A 17103-nucleotide genomic window follows, 5' to 3' on the forward strand; every position below is an offset into this window, starting at 1 on the left:
CTATAACTGCATTTTGGATTTGTTTAAAACAGTTATTGATTGCCATATATTATTGTCAAAAGTCTACTAAAAAAACTTTCCCATCATAAAAGTGGAAGTTATTATTTCTTTCTTTTTTTTTAGACAGGGTCTCACTCTGTCGCCCAAGCTGGAGTGCTGCAGCATGATCTGGGCTCACTGCAGCCTCAACCTTCCTGGGCTCAGGTGATCCTCCTACCTCAGCCTCCTGAGTGGCTGAGACTACAGGTGCATTGCTACCATGCCTGGCTAATTTTTGTATTTTTTTGTAGAGACGGGGTTTCACCATGTTGCCCAGGCCGGTCTTGAACTCCTGGACTCAAGCAATCTGCCCACCTTGGCCTCTGAAAGTACTAGGATTACAGGCATAAGCCATTGTGTTGAGGGTAAATTTCAAATTGAGGTCAAATGCCTTTGGCCTATGGTTATTCCAAATTATAAATAAGCTGAGAACATAAGATACAGAAAAAGTGAGAGAGAAGAACTAAAGCATAAGGAGATGGAAATAAAAAAAAAGTTCCATTTTCCAAGGCAGTATTTTGCCCCGGAGTAAATGGGGGAAAATGCAGCTCATTTTATAGAAGTAATATATAAATGTACAGATATTTATTTATATCAATTGGATCTTACTGAATTACTTTGAAATGTGTATTTGCTTTTATTTAATAATGTATTCTGTTAAAAATGCATGACTGTACAAACATCAGTAGCATTTCTGTACACTAACAATGAACGATCCAAAGAAGAAATTAAGACAATTTTATGTATAATAGCATCAAAAAAGAACAAAATACTAAGAATAAACTTAACCAAGGAGGTGAAAGACATCTGCTGAAAACTGTAAATGTTGCTGAGAAGAAATTAAAGAAGACACAAATGGTAAGACATCCCATGTTCATGGATTAGAAGACAATATTTTTAAGACATCAATACTACCGAACAATCTACCATTTAATGTAATCCCTATCAAAATCCCAATGGTGTCTTTTGCAGAATTAGAAAAATCTATCCTAAGATTAATATAGAACCTTAAAGGGCCCCAAATAGGGAAACGAATCTTGAAAAAGAAGAACGAAGTTGGAGGTCTTGTACTTCCTGATTTCAAAACTTATAAAGCTACAGTAATCAAAACAATGTGGTGCTAGCATAAAGACAGACATATAAACCATTGGAACAGAATAGAAAGACCAGAAATTAATGCTTGTGTATATGGTCACAGTATCTTCAACAAGGATGCCAAGACTACTCAATGGGGACAGGATGATCTTTTCAAAAAATGGTGTTGGGAAAACAATAGCCACACACAAAAGAACGAAGTTGTACCCTGACCTTACACTATATATACAAATAAATGCAAAATGGATTACAGGCCTAAACGTAAGAGTGAAAATTACAAAACTCTTAGAAGAAAACATAGGGGAACAGATTCATGATAAGGGTCTTGGCAATGATTTCTTGGATATGACACCAAAACACAGGCAACAAGAGTAAAAATAAATAAACTTGACTACATTGAAATTAAAAACTTCTGTGTATCAAAGGATACAATCAACAGAGTAAAAAGACAGCCGATGGAATGGGAGGAAATTTTTGCAATATTGCATATAACTGATAAAGGGGTAATATTCAGAAGTATAAAGAACTCCTACAACTCAATGACAAAAATCAAACAACCCAGTATAAAAATGGGAAAAGACTTAAATAGACATTTCTGCAAGGAAGATAAACAAATGGCCAAAAAGCACACGAAGATTCAACATCACTAATCATTAGGAAAATGCAACTCAAAACCACGATGAGATACTGCCTCACATCCATTAGGATGGCTACTATCAAAAAAAAAAAAAAAAAAAAACAGAAAATAGTGTGTTGGCAAAGGTGCATATAAACCAGAACACTTCTGTCCTGTTGGTGGGAAGTAAAATGGTGCAGCTGTTATGGAAAACATTATGGTGCTTTCTCAAAAAATTAAAAATAGAATTACCATATAACCTAGCAATTCCACTTCTGGATATATATATCCAAAATAACTGAAAGCAGGGTTTTGAAGAGATATTTGTTCACTCACATTCATAGGAGCTTTATTCACAACAGCCAATAATGGGTAGAAGCAACGCAAGTGTCCATGATGGATGCATAGATAAGCAAACTGTGGCATATACATATAATGGAAATTTACTCATAAAAAGGAAGGAAATTCTAACACATGCTACAACATGGATGAAGACATTATGCAAAATGAGACAGGTCAGTCACAAAAGATAAATACTGCATGATTCCACTTATATGAGGTACTCAGAGTAGTCAAATTCATAAAGACAGAAAAATAAATGGTGGTAGCCAGGGTCTGTGGGAAGGAAAACTGGGGAGCTGTTGCTCAATGGGTATAGTTTTGGTTTTGCAAGATGAAAAGAATTCTGGAAATTGGTTGTATCACAATGTGAATGAATTTTACACTAGTGAAGTATATACTTAAAATGGTTAAGGTGGTAAATTTTATGTTATGTGTATTTTACTACCAATTTAAAAAATATATACTACTATATACTATTCCAAGCTATATATTTACAAAAGATTATTTCACCAGTCTCCTATTGAATATTTTAAAATTCTAGCAGTAAATACTCTGGATAAAATAATATGAACTATAATAAAAATGAGACATGTTATTACAAAATTACTGTTACCAATATATCTTAGAGGTGTTGTGGGAAAGTAGAAAAGAATACTGTTAATAAATGAAACCCTGGTATAACGTTATAAGGCAATCCCCTCTGCAATGGACTGAATTTTAAACTCTAAGCAAGTTTAGTATAGTAAATTTGACATAAAATAAGTATCAGCTATGCAAAATTTGGACTAATACATTTTTGGGCCCTTTCCCTTTCTAATTGATTATAAACATATTCTATCATAAGTTATTTCAAAGGCATTAGGGATAAGCTTGTAAAATTATTGTTAGTTATTACCATTGTGAGTAACAAATGAAATTGAGAATATTATGCATTTAAGTATTTGAGGTTAAAGAGTATATATACAAGCATATGAAAACTCTGAAAATAAACACCCTTTACCTTTTGCTGAAATTCATCTTTAGTTTCTCCTGTATTTTCCTCCATATGCAAATTCCTGGAAACTTCCTCAGAAATTTTCGATTTTAGTGTATTAATTGTTTCTTGATGTTGTTTCAGAGACTCAAGAGCATTTCGTAATTGTTCTTGAGTATCTATATTCTTTGTTAGAAAAATATAAAAACAATTTCCATTAGAATATGAAACAAAATTATTTTGTAGCTACTACATAACATAATCATAAATAATAAATGATGGCCTCTGCAATGTTTTTAAGAGTCTCCAATTTTTCAAAGTTTAATCAATCAAAACCTTACCATGTTAACAGTATCGTGAATATCACTTTTGAGTTGGTCCCTCTCAATTTGCAAGCTTTCTTGGAGTTGTTTTAGATCATCTTTTTCTTGAGTTAAAGTTTTTACTTCTTCTAAAGTTTGCTGCAGTTTCTCAGTAATCAGTGTTTTCTCCCTTTCTACAGTTTGCAGCGTAGAATCTCTATTTTCTAATTGTTCCTTCAGCTGTTCCATCTCATTTAGTCTTTCTTGAACCTCACGTGTTTTCTCCTGAAGTTCTTGGGTCTTGTAAGAAAGCTTTAAAAAAGAAAAAGTAAATGTCACACAGTAAAAGCAGAGCAGTCTGAGGCATACATATATACAGAAACCAAAACCCCAGAAGACTAAGGAGCATTTCTCAAAATAGCATCTTGTACCAACCTCGGTCTTCAAAGCACCCAAACTCGAATCAAATTTTTGGGCTTCTTTAGAGAGATTAACTATTTCCTGATTCATTCTCTCATTCTCCTCAAGGACCATCTTATACTTTTGCTCAAAGTCCATATGAAGGGTTTTGAAATTTTGGAATTCTTGATCAGTGCTTTTATAATTCGACTGTGTAGTTGCTAGGTCATCTTTTGTTTTCCCAATTTCTTCAAGTAAACCTTGAACTCTACTCTCCTTATGAACTACTTCAGAAAACAATTTATCTTTTTCTGATGTTATTATATGGAGCTCTTCAGATTTGTCTTGTATCTATGGAAAAGAAATAAAATTTAGGGATGTTAGCAACATATGATTCACTGAAGCAATTTTTAGGAAAAAAAGCTTTCTCTGCAAAAAGAGAAGTTATTTACATTCAGCAAAAATTTGACTGTGGAAAGGCAATATAGTAGTACTCTTATTGTCACTTTTCCCTAACTCAGCTTGTTTAACTCTACCTTTGATGTTTTATTTTCTAATCTCTTTGTATTCTAGAAAGTAAGGTCTGCATGGAAAATAGTAAAGGCACATAATCAGATTGTCTTTATTTCCTTACCTATCATTTTAAAGTGTTTTCTAACTTTATCATGTGGCAGGCATTTCTCAGAATTTGACATTTTTTTCCCTAAAGGCTTTGAATGCCTCTCAGGTTTCCAAAAACTTAATCAATGAATAATTTAAGTAATGTTTAATCATTTAAAATTGTTATTTAAGAAGTATCTTAAGTGGTATGGTCCATGAAAAAAATAAAAATAGAAGTACCACTTAAGTAATATTTAAATAATTACATAATTTAAATAACCCATATCTTGTATATTAACAGTTTAATCACTGTGAAAGATAAGGGCAGAGAGAGATGAGAAAAAAAGAAGAGATAAAGGAGGGACAAAGTAAAGACGGGCAATACAGCGTGTAGCTACAATCACGGGTTTAGGAGGCAGATTTATGTGGCTCAATTATGAGTTTGATAATGGGTTATTGGGACTAAAAAACTACCTATTTTTGAAGAGTTTATAAGACGAGTAAATGAAATAATGTTTTTGAAGTTCTTTAGCATGATGTTTGCCATACAGTAAGTACTCAAATTTTTGCCATTTTTCTTTTAGACAAGTAGAAAGAAAAACTGGCAGGCCATGGATTTACAGAAACATTCACCAGCCTGCAAGGTTTGCATTAACCTCTAAAACTTTATCAGTGCAACCTCTTTTCCCTCATTACTGTCTTTTATTCAACATAATGATACTACTACTACCAAAAAAAATGGTAAAGACTAAGGGTGGGCCGTAATACTGTATAAATGCAACATTTGAGGACTACAGAAATGGCTGCTACATGGATTATATTACTAAGTATTCTGTTAAATACACCTTGAAAAAATATATTTTTTAATCTAGTAGCATAAGAACAAATTAGAAGATGAACTATATTCATTTCTATTTCTAACTAGTCAAAACGTTTACAGTATCTCTCTTGTCTGCTAGTTTAAAATAAACTATACCAAAATATTTAAGGCACTATTATCGCAAAGGTTTTTATTTCAAAATAAGGGATAAGTGCTTATAAATGTGTTTACCTCTTTCCTCAGCCTTTCTACTTCAGAAGGTAAAGATTTCAATTCTGAAAGCAAAATGACTTCTTCCCGCAAAGCTTCATTTTCTTCAACTTCTTTATTTAGTTCTTTCTGAAGATCAGTAATCTTTCCTTCCAATTCCAAATTACAGAGCAAATCTAGAAAGTTTTGGTAAATTGTATAAAGATCCAATGTTGCCAAACAGGTAATTTAATTTTTAATTGTCCTTGAATCACCTTTTTCAGGATCAGGTAAAGTTTATTTGAAAAATAATCCCTTATGATTTGAAACCCATGGAAATCTTTATAAATATTAATACCAAATGAAACTAAAACGTAATATTGAGTTTTTAAAAAGTCAGAGTATAATGAATTTTTAATCATTGAAATATGCTTGTCAAATTGTTTAGGTACATTTCTAGAAGAAGTCAGATTTGAAAAAAGATGTTTAAAATTACAAAATACCTTTTGGAACTTTGCCATCTATAAGGGAGGTGAGTTTTGTTATCTCATTAAAAGCAGATTGTAATTCTTTCTCCAGATCAACTTGCATTTTCTTTTTTGCCTCCAACTGGCTTTGATATAACTGAATATCATTTTCCATTTGCTTGTATGTAGTTGCAAGTTCTTTCTATTGAGAAAAACATTGCAAATGCACAAAAATACACTGATCATTACAACTACTTTATTATAAATATTACAAAAAATACTTACCATTTTCTCCTTCAGCTCCAGATTTTCACTTCTAAGAAAGGCTGATTCTCTCTTGGCATCAAGGGCTACAGTTTCAGCATCAAACAGAGTCTGCTTCATTTGTTTTGGGTCTTCAATGCTTTCCTAGACAGATGACAAAAGGGGTTCACTGAAATCTAATTTTCACAGAGTTGGAAAATTCTTAAGAGAACATGTATATAAATGTTAACTCTAGCTAATCAAAAAGCGTACAAATATGCTAGTTACCAAATATATAAAAAGAAATAATGTTTTCCTAATAAAAATAATTTTTAAAAATTCTGGTCATATTTTTCAAATTATATAAGCAATATATCAAATTATATAAGCAATGTATCATAATTTAGATCTGTTTTGTTTAAAGGTTAAAACAACTGTTGTTCGGCAAGGCTGATGAAGTTTTCTATGTATTTTTATTTTGAGTTATTCTCTTCAGCACATGATAGGTAAGTGGCTAACAGTTAAATTAAAGATATTAACCCACAAATTGAAAAGGAAAAAGACAAATGATCTAATAGAAAAATAGAGAAATGATATGAACAAGAAACTTACAGATGAGAAAATGCAAATGAAAAATACATGAAAAAAATCTACAACCTCATTTCTAAAGAGAAGTGGCATTTTAATATGACTTTAGCTTATATGAAATCAATGATATGTCCTTGGAAAAAAATTAATAAATTAATACATGAATGAATAAGGAAAAAGAAATAGTAATTTTTAAAAAGTGGGCAGTTCTGCTTGCCACGCTATGAACAGACACTCCAGAATACATAAAAGTGCCTTCCTATCCAGGGCCTCAGAATAGGATGATATGAAATGGTATGAACCCCTTTGAAAAGAATCATTTGTCACAAATAAAAGGCAACAAAAGAATAGAAGGTAACAAAAACTAAAAAACTCAACTGAAAACAGAAGAACAGAAACTAGTCTTTTAAAAGTTCCAGCTAGAAACTGTTATCATAAAAAAAAAAGTATTAAAAACTGGAACCAAACATATATAAGTAATCAGGTATACTGAAAGCAAACTGAAGCGATTAAATGACATCATCATCAGATTCAATGTTAGTTAATGCCAAGATCTTATATCAACTAAAATCATCTAGAGCTATAAAATTGTGAAAAAATATCCCAGTTTAATATTTAAGATCTTGACTATATACTACTGCATGCATTTGTATAAAACTACTGAAAAAAATTCGGAATTTTAAAATTTTACTGATTTTTTTTTTTTTTTGGAGACAGAGTCTTGCTCTGTTGCCCAGGCTGGAGTGCAATGGCATGATCTCGGCTCATGGCAGCCTCAACCTCCCAGGCTCAAGCAATCCTGCCACCTCAGTTACCCAAGTAGCTGGCAGTACCTGCCAGGCTTATTTTTGTATATTTTGTACAGACCAGGTCTCACTATGTTGCCCAGGCTGGTCTTGAACTCCTGGGCTCAAGTGATCTCCCACTTCGGCCTCCCAAAGTACTGGCATCACAGGGATGAGCCACTGTGCCCTGGCCTAAAACTTACTGATTTTTAATGGGAGCCTGTCCTTAACTTCCTTATATTTACTCAAAGGATGACATGATCAACTTTCCACAAATGTGACTTTATCTCTAAAATGGCAAATATACTAACAGTCCCTATCTCATAGGGTTATTGACAGATTTAATGAAATATATATAAATTTATTACAACAATACACAGCACAAAGTAGGTCCAGTATAAGCATTTGCTAAGATGATGGTATGCTATATATATTTATGTGATTACACAACAAAATACGCCTGATTTTTACCAATGAGTATGACAAGTCCATTTTTATATTTTCTAGCTTTTGAGAGTCTATGTATTCCTGTAGCTTCTTAATCTGGTCTTCCTTTTCTCTAAGCAGCTCTACTTTTGAACTGAGTTCATTCTAAAAGAATCAAAGGAGAGAGTAACAATTTAGAATCTGATTTGAAGTCTAAGGGATTAAAACAGAACTTATATATATTAGTTTAAATTCATAGTAAAATTCAAAGTCACTAATATTTTAAAAACATAATTCCCTTATTTCTGACATCATGTTCAGTTACATATGTTGCATGTTTTATAGTTCTAATTGCTTATCAATAGAAATACCAACATGAATGCTCACCTCAAGATCTTGATTATATACTTCTGCATGCTTAACTAAATTCTTTAAGTTCGAAATTTCATGAATTAGTTGCATCTGTAAGAGCATGTGAACAGGTAACAGAGCAAACCAATAGTTAATAAAGCAAAGCAAAAAAAAAAAAAAAAAGAAAAAGAAAAAAAAGGGCACTGGTTCACTGCTTCAGAATCACCCAACAGTTAGAAAGGACTGAGATCAATTGTTCAAGCTATCGCAACAAAGCACCTCATTATTTAAAAATACTAGAAATATCACCCAAAACATATCAAACAAATAAAAAAAAACCCCTCAGCATGACCCCACCAAGTAGCTATATCATCTGTTAATAAAGCTACAATAATGTCAATAGCAAATTAGTATGCACTACTTGGAGGAGAGATTTAAAAAGTGGTAATCAAACCTTGAAAAATACACGTTTAGTAGATTTTTGTTTTCAGTCAGTTAAGTACAGAAATGTATTAATTCTTATAAAGTTTTTTCTTCCCATAAAGTATCCATCAGCTCTACATTAGTGTACTTTTTAATAAGTTCTGATTTGGAATCTAGGTTTGGATTAGGGTTGTTTCATGCAGTGCCTTTACAATATTATTACTTTTCACCAGTGCTACACAGGTATGGAATGATCAACTATGACCTTGATTTATTCCAGAGGAAATATTGCACTCCATTATATTGTTCAACCATGTAAAAGTATAAAGGTAGAAGTATTTCTATTGAGGTGTCCTTTCTACCAAAATATCTGTAGCATTAAATATCTGAGTACCAAAAAGTTTGTTGAAAACAAGTAAACCACACATAACCAAGATAAACATTTTCCCTTAGAATTATTTAATCTTCATAATCAGATGAGCACTTACAGAGTAAAAGCAAATTCTAATAGTATGTAAGGGGCTTGAAAATAGTATCTTATTTAAATATTTTCTGGATGTTTAACTGAGTCCTGACTAGTTTTAAATTTCAGACTAGTGCAAGTGTTGACATTACTATTTTAGGTCAGTGCTATCCAAGAGAAACATAATGTCAGACACATATGTAATTTAAAATTTCCTAGTAGGCACATTAAACCTAAAAAGAAAAAGGCAGAATTAACTTTGAGAACATATTTTATTCAACCTAATATATCAAAAATATTTCTTCCAAAATGTTTCTTCAGGTAATCTATCCAACATGTTTCTTTAGGTAATCAATATAAAAAAAATGAACAATTTTACATTCTTTTTTATATACTATGTCAATTCAGTCTGGTCCCATTTCAAGTGCTTAATTGCCACATATGGTTAGTGGCTACCCCACTGTAGAACACAGTCTTAGACATTTGTACTGCTTTTAATTTAAATTGGCTCCTTCTTTCACCTTTTCTTCCTTATTTTTAACTTCTGTGAAAGAAAATCACATTTACCAATAAGAAAGAATCAAAAATCAATCTTAACTTTTAAAAATACTTAGAAGAGATCGGGTGCATTCAGGGTAGTATGGCCATAGATAATGAAAACATTTAAAGAATACTAATTTAGAAAAGAAAATTTTCCTACTTCTTATTTGAAATAGCACTTTATCTTAGTACTGGTTCTTATGCATAGAAAATAATTAGCTTTTATAAAAATAAAAGTGTAATCTCCCAATGACATGTTTAAGATGCAGAGCATGAAGTGAAAGTGTGTGAAAAGGAAAAATGATTTAAACATATGATCTGATCTACAGTTAATCCATTGCTACCATTTAAATTGCAGATTTAAATGGTAATTGTCATTAGGTGAAATGAAATATTTAACTTACATCTCCAAGTAGTAAAAATTATAAAATTAAATACACCAAGTTAAAATAGGTAGACGGTAAAGATTTTTCTCATTCCTCGAGTATGGTGATACTTGACATTTTCCATTCTCCCTCTAAAACATACTATTTAAGCATCTCATGTTACTATATTCCCACTAGAAAATTATCTACAACTTGGGTGATTTTTGACAAAAGCTTTAGGAAAACCAGGGAAATGGCTCCATGTCCTAAGGCCAATTTGACTTTTATTCCCTTTTAGCTAAACCTTTCCCCAAAATGTAGGTTTTGGAACATATTTTGCTACATACACATAGACTTATATTTTTAGTTTAACATGGACTAGATACTGCAAAACTGGTTTTGAACAGGATGTTTTTATTACATAATCTTTTAAGTAACCTTAAATTTTGTGTCGAATTAAAAGTAAAGGGCCTAGAGCAGTGGCTCACACCTGTAATCCTAGCACTTTGGGAGGCCGAGGCGAGCAGATCACTTGAGCCCAGGAATGTGAGACTAGCCTGGCCAACATGGCAAGACCCCCGTCTCTATAAAGAAAAAGTTTTTTAATTATATGTCTTTTAGATTAGAAAGCTGAGCTTTGTGTTTTAAAAAAAAAAAAAAGAAAAAAAAGAAAAAGAAATTTAAAAAGAACGGAGTAGGATTCTTCCTCCTCAACTGTGGTTAAAATGGGAGAAAAACTGCAGTGTGATACATGTCATATATTCTGTGGTATTTTTGTAATCTTTCTCTGTGTTGACTCAATTCAATAAGCTTCAATTTTTCTTATTAATATATTAATGATGTGAGAAAAATATTAGAGAAATTATTACCACTTATCCCAAACGTTAGTTTTATGTCATGTTATTATCACATATAAAAAACATACAAAAATTAGATGAAATTTTAAAGTCAGAAGGGACCTTGGTGAGCATCTGGTCTCTACTTCAAGGGTGGAGAAATACAGGAAGCCCTGAGATTCAGTGACTTGCCCAAGGCCTTGGCAACAATTCATAATAGGATTGGATCTGCGGTAAGTTTATAAGTGGCAAAACTGCGGCTTAAATCCAGGCAATTTCACTCTAGAGACCATGTTCTTAATCATGACACTAGGCCAGTCCCTTCCATAAAACCTAGTTTTATTGATTAAAGTCCAATGGTTTTGTCATGCATGACATTTTGCACTTCATTAACATGCATTTTAAAACAAGCTAAATGAAACCCTGTGGAGAACTTATAGACTTTTACCTCTTTGAATATAGTACCTATGAAATAAAGCAATAATTTTAATTTGTAGGTAGAATGGAAATAATAGCTTTGGCATAGAATTCTTTTTTCCTTTAAAAATGAAAAGAGGTTGAGAAACTGAACAATGATATCGAGGAAAAAGGGTCATGGCCTTTTGGGCTAGCCACATAGAAGTCTGAAGAGTAGCTGCAAATTAATTCATCTTTTAACTACATAAAACACTGGGTCTTATTTTTTTTTGAAGGGGGGATGTTCACGAATCACTTTGCAAGTCTGATAACAACTACAGATTCTTGTTCCAGAAAAATGAATATGCATTGAAAAATTCTGCAAAATAATTTCACAGCATCTGTGGCCTCTAGGTTAAGGACACTTTACACTAATAACTCCCTTTAATCTTTTGGACAATTTCTGAGTCCCTAAAGTCTGATGGTTTCTGGATTAAGTTCTCTTAACGTGTAGCCTAATATTTTATACTTAGAAAATGAGTGATCTGTTTCTATAAATTCCATTATAACTATTTAGTATTAGTTATACTAATTTTCACATAACTCTCTTAGATGGAGAAGGAAAAACAAAACGTACAAAATTAGCTTCTCCAGCTATTCTAATGTTTTAATTATTTAGAAACATACTTTCTAAAGAAAAAGAAATCCATTAATATGTAGCATCCATATATAAAATAGTCATCTAGATATTAAAATTCATACTGATCTCAGTAGGAAACTGCTGTGCTCTAGGTAGCATTTATATATGCTCAATAAAATGTAATATACAAACTATAAGGAAACAATTTCAAGACAAATCCATCAAGAGGTAGATACACCAACCCTTCCCATAGATGCTTTTAATTCCTTTTTCTCTTGCATAAGCACCAGGGAAAGAAACATGATTTAACTATTTTTAAAATATAAATGAAGAAAATATTTCTTAAATTTTCTAAATTGTATATACATATGAAAAATGGTTAGATCTTCAACATCTCAATCTTAGAAAAAAAAATCTTTAAGACAATACTTCTGAGTGATGTCAAGAAGATGACAGAATAGGAGGTCACCTGCTCACATCCCCCCAAAACAACAAGAATTCTGTACCTATTACAGACAAGTCTTTTTGTGGGAGCCTTTGGATTCAGGTAGGAGGTTGTAAAACCCCAGTAGAACTCAAGACCTGGAAGTGTTGTTTTTGAGAGTGCATACCAACACCCAGGTGGGAGTCCTGCCAATTGTGCTCCCAGGTTCATATGCAGAAATGGTCCCATTCCTTGAAGGACTTAGCTACAGCCCTGTTTGGCCTAGAGTCTGCAACCAAAACTATCTGTCAAGGGGTCCAGGAGAAATCACACACTCTAGGGTCTCGGCAGATGGGCTCTTCTGCCTGTCGACATTGGTCTTGGCAGTGGACCCAAAAGTTAGCCTATAACTTGGCTCCTGCCCTCCTCAAGCTGTAGTCCTAGCTTAGTACTGCTTGCACAAGGACCCAGAAGGGAACATGCCCATCTGAGCCACCAGGACAGGCTTGCCGGCCTCTGTCTCATAGCAGATTCCGACGGGGACATGTACTGGCTCCAGCCCTCCCCTGCTGCAGCCTCCCTGCTCTCACCCACACAGAGAACTGCCAAGAGATGAACCTGTCTGAGCCACTGGGTCAGGCTTGCAGTCCTCCATCCCACAATAGACTGAAGGGGCCCTGTCTCAGCTTCAATGCCTCTTTGCTGCAGTCAGGAAGCTATCTCGACTGTATTGGGAACTGCTGGGTGAAGCACCTGCCCCAGCCACCAGGACAGGTTTCATGCATCTTTCCCATAATAGATCCTAAAGCAGTCTTGTCTTGACTGCAGCCCCTCTCTACTGCAGCCTGGCAGTTATCCTGCCTGTGTAGGACAGGCCTGCTGGCTTCCATCACATAGCAGTTCTGGAAAGAACCTTGAATGTCACAGCTACAGAATGCAAGCAATCCTCCCTGCATAAGGAACTGCTGGGAGTCTTGACTGCTGGTGCCACCAGGTTAAGCTTACCAACATTGGTTCCATAGCACATTCTGAATTAACTCTGAAGCTTGGTTTCAGTTTCTCCTAGCGATAGTCTGAGAATGGTTTTACCCAGCCGGGGTCCTACCGGGAGACAGGCGTATCCAAGTCCCTGTGGCAGGTTTTGCAACCCTTGTCCATCAGCAGATTCTCAAATGGCCCTGGATCTTGATACTGACCCCTCTCATCTGTGGAATAAGAACAGCTCTGCCCACCTGGGGACCTAAAGAGAAAGGTGTCCAGTAGTGCCTCTGCAGGATAACATGGTGACCTCAGTCATACTATAGATCTTGAAAAGACCTTATAAAGATGGTGAAGACTAAAACAAATAGCTACATTCATCTTCAATGTGCAGACACTGCTGCATGACCACAAGCATCATGATCAGGGAAACATGATGTCACCAAAAGCACAAAGTAAGATACTGGTGACTGATCCTAAAAGATGGAGATGTATTATCTGCCAAAGAATTCAAAATAGCTATTTTAAGCGAGCTCAGCAAACCTCAAGAAAACATAGAGAAACAATCCAGAAATTTATCAAGGAGACTGAAATAATAAAAAAACCAAACAGAAATCCTAGAGCAAGAAAATACAATGAACAAAATGAAAAATGCAACAAAGAACATCAATAGAAGAATGGATCATGCAGAAGAATTTGTGAGCTTGAGACAGGCTATTTTAAAATATAGAGTCAGGAGGCAAAAAAAAAAAAGGATGAAAAGGAATGAAGTTTATGGGACAACATCAAAAAAGCAAATATTTGGGTCACTGCAGTTCAAGTAGAGAAAAATAAAGGGACAGAAAGCTTATTTAAAGAAATAATAGCAGAAAATTCCCAAACCTGAAGAAAGCAATACATATCCACATATAGGAAGGTCAAAGGTTACCAATCAAATTCAATCTAAATGACCCTGCCCTAAGATATATTATATTCAAACTCAAAAGTCAAAGACAAGGAGAAAATCCTAAAAGCAGCAAAGCAGCAAGAGTAAAGAGGCAAATAACATAGAAGGGAGTTCCATTATGGTTAGCAGTAGACTTCTAAGCAGAAATCTCACAGGCCAGGATCATTAAAAAGTCAGGAAACAGATGCTGGAGAGGATGTGGAGAAATAGGAATGCTTTTACACTGTTGGTAGGAGTGTAAATTAGTTCAACATTGTGGAAGACAGTGTGGCAATTCCTCAAGGATCTAGAACTAGAAATAACATTTGACTCAGCAAGCCCATTACTGAGTATATACCCAAAGGATTATAAATCATTCTACTATAAAGACACATGCACACGTATACTTATTGCAGCATTGTTTACAACAGCAAAGACTTGGAACCAACCCAAATGCCCCTCAATGATAGACTGGATAAAGGAAATGTGGCACATATACACCATGGAATACTACGCAGCCATAAAAAAGGATGAGTTCATGTCCTTTGCAGGGACATGGATGAAGCTAGAAACCATCATTCTCAGCAAACTAACACAAGAACAGAAAACCAAACACCACATGTTCTCACTTATAAGTGGGAGTTGAACAATGAGAACTCATGGACACAGGGAGGGGAACATCACACACTGGGGCCTGTTGGGGATTGGGGGCCTAGGGGAGGGATGGCATTAGGAGAAATACCTAATGTTAAATGACGAGTTAATGGGTGCAGCACACCAACATGGCACATGTATACCTATGTAACAAATCTGTATGTTATGCACATGTACCCCAGAACTTAAAGTATAATTAAACAACAACAACAACAACAAAGAGGAATCTCACAGGCCAGGAGGGAGTGCAATGATATAGTAAAAGTACTGAAGGAAAACAGTTGTAACATCAAAAGTTAGAAAATCAAATATTCAGAAAGTGGGAGGAGATAAAGTGTGGAGTTTGTTTGTTTGTTTAGTAATCAATGATAATCTGTTATCAGTTTAAAATAACCTGCATAACTGTAAGACTTTTTCTTGTAAGCCTGATGGTAACCACGAAGGAAAAAAACCTATAATAAATACACTAAAAATAGAAAGGTATCAAAACATACTATCAGAGAAAATAATTTATCCAATAAGGAAGACAGTGAGATAAGATAAAAGGACCTAAAAAACAAATAAGAAAATAATTAGCAAAATGGAAGTAGTAATTTCCTACCTATCAGTAGTTCCTACCTATCAATGTAAATGGACTGATTCTCCAATTATAAGATAGAGTGGTTGAATGGATTAAAAAATCCAAATATATGCTGCCTGAAAGAGATTAACTTCACCTGTAAGGATACAAATAGATGGAAAGGAAGGGGTGGAAAAAGATATTCCATGCAAACTGAAATTGTAAGAGAGCAGGAGAAGCTATACTTATATCAGCTAAAATAGACTTTACATCAAAAACTGTGAAAAGAGACAAGGTCATTACATAATGATAAAGGGGTCAACTCAGCAAGAGGTTGTAACAATTGTAAATATATATGCACACTGAACATGGCAGAATATATATAAAGCAAATATTAATCTGAAGGAAGAGAGACTGCAACACAATAATAATAGAGGATTTTGAAACTACACTTTCAGCAATGGACAGATTATTCAGACAGAAAATCAACAAAGAAATAGCAGATTTAAACTGCAGTCTAGACCAAAGAGACCTAACAGATGTTTACAGAACATTCCATTCAACAGCTGCAGAAAACACATTCTTATCAACTGCACATGGAACATTCTCTAAGACAGATCATATTAGGCCACAAAAACAGTCTTAAAAAATTTAAAATCAAAATTATATCAAGTATCTTTTCTGACCACAATGACATAAAACTAGAAATTAATAATAGCAGAAATTCTGGAAATATTACAAATACATAAAAATTAAACACGCTCCTGAACAACCACTGGGTTAATGAATTAAAAGAGTAATTTTAAAAAGCTAAGACAAATGAAAATGGAAACACAATATACCAAAATGTATAGGATGCAGCAAAAGCAGTTCTAAAAGAGAAGTTTATAGTAATAAACATCTACATCAAAAAAGAGGAAAGAAATCAAACTACCTAAACTATTACCTCGAAGAATTAGAAAAACAAGAACAAACTAAACCCCAAATTAGCAAATGGAAAGAATAAAGATCAGAGCAGAAATAAACAAAATAGGGACTTTAAAAAAATCCACAAAATAAAGAGTTTTTTTTTTTTGAAAGAAACAAAATCAACAAACCTTTAGCTAGACTAGGTAAAAAAGACAGTCGACTCAAATAAATAAAATCAGAAATAAAAAAGGAGACATTACAATTGATACCACAGAAATACAAAGAACAATTATATGCCAATAAATTGAAAAACCTAGAAGAAATGAATTCCTCTACCACATTACCTACCAGGACTGAATTATGAATAAATAGAAAACCTGAACAGGCCAGTAATGAGAAAGGAGACTTGAATCAGTAATAAAAAGTCTCCTATCAAAGAAAGGCCCAGGACCTGATGGCATCACTGCTGAATTCTACCAACAGTTACAGAAGAACTAATAGCAATTCTTCTCAAAGTATTCCAAAAAATTGAAGAGGAAGGAATTTTTCCTAACTTATTCTACAAGGCCAGCATTACACTGATACCAAAAATAGACAAAAAAGGAAAACTATAGGCCAATATCCCTGAAGAACAGACAGAAAAACCCTGAACAAAATACTATAAAACTGAATTTAACAGCACATTTAAAAGATAATTCACCATGAACAAGTGGGATTTATCCCAGGAATATAAGAATGGTTCATCATAAACAAATC

General features: G+C 33.7%; 1 protein-coding gene across 17 annotated transcripts in view; it reads right to left on the reverse strand.

Annotated features, from left to right (window-relative positions):
* Window positions 1-17103, reverse strand: part of CENPE (centromere protein E) — a 92533-nt gene that overhangs the window by 49397 nt on the left and 26033 nt on the right. For 11 of the 17 annotated variants that reach the window (XM_047449535.1, XM_047449540.1, XM_047449539.1 and 8 more), the window contains exons 17-24: window positions 8272-8346; window positions 7930-8049; window positions 6128-6250; window positions 5879-6044; window positions 5418-5572; window positions 3803-4117; window positions 3407-3679; window positions 3093-3251 (exon numbers count right to left, since the gene is read on the reverse strand). In XM_047449535.1, the coding sequence (XP_047305491.1) occupies window positions 3093-3251; window positions 3407-3679; window positions 3803-4117; window positions 5418-5572; window positions 5879-6044; window positions 6128-6250; window positions 7930-8049; window positions 8272-8346 (1386 nt within the window). The remainder of the gene's footprint in view (window positions 1-3092; window positions 3252-3406; window positions 3680-3802; window positions 4118-5417; window positions 5573-5878; window positions 6045-6127; window positions 6251-7929; window positions 8050-8271; window positions 8347-17103) is intronic. The other 6 variants (XM_047449534.1, XM_047449541.1, XM_047449533.1 and 3 more) reach the window with 1 other exon arrangement.

Source organism: Homo sapiens, chromosome 4, assembly GCF_000001405.40.
Source record: "Homo sapiens chromosome 4, GRCh38.p14 Primary Assembly".
Taxonomy (NCBI): domain Eukaryota; kingdom Metazoa; phylum Chordata; class Mammalia; order Primates; family Hominidae; genus Homo; species Homo sapiens.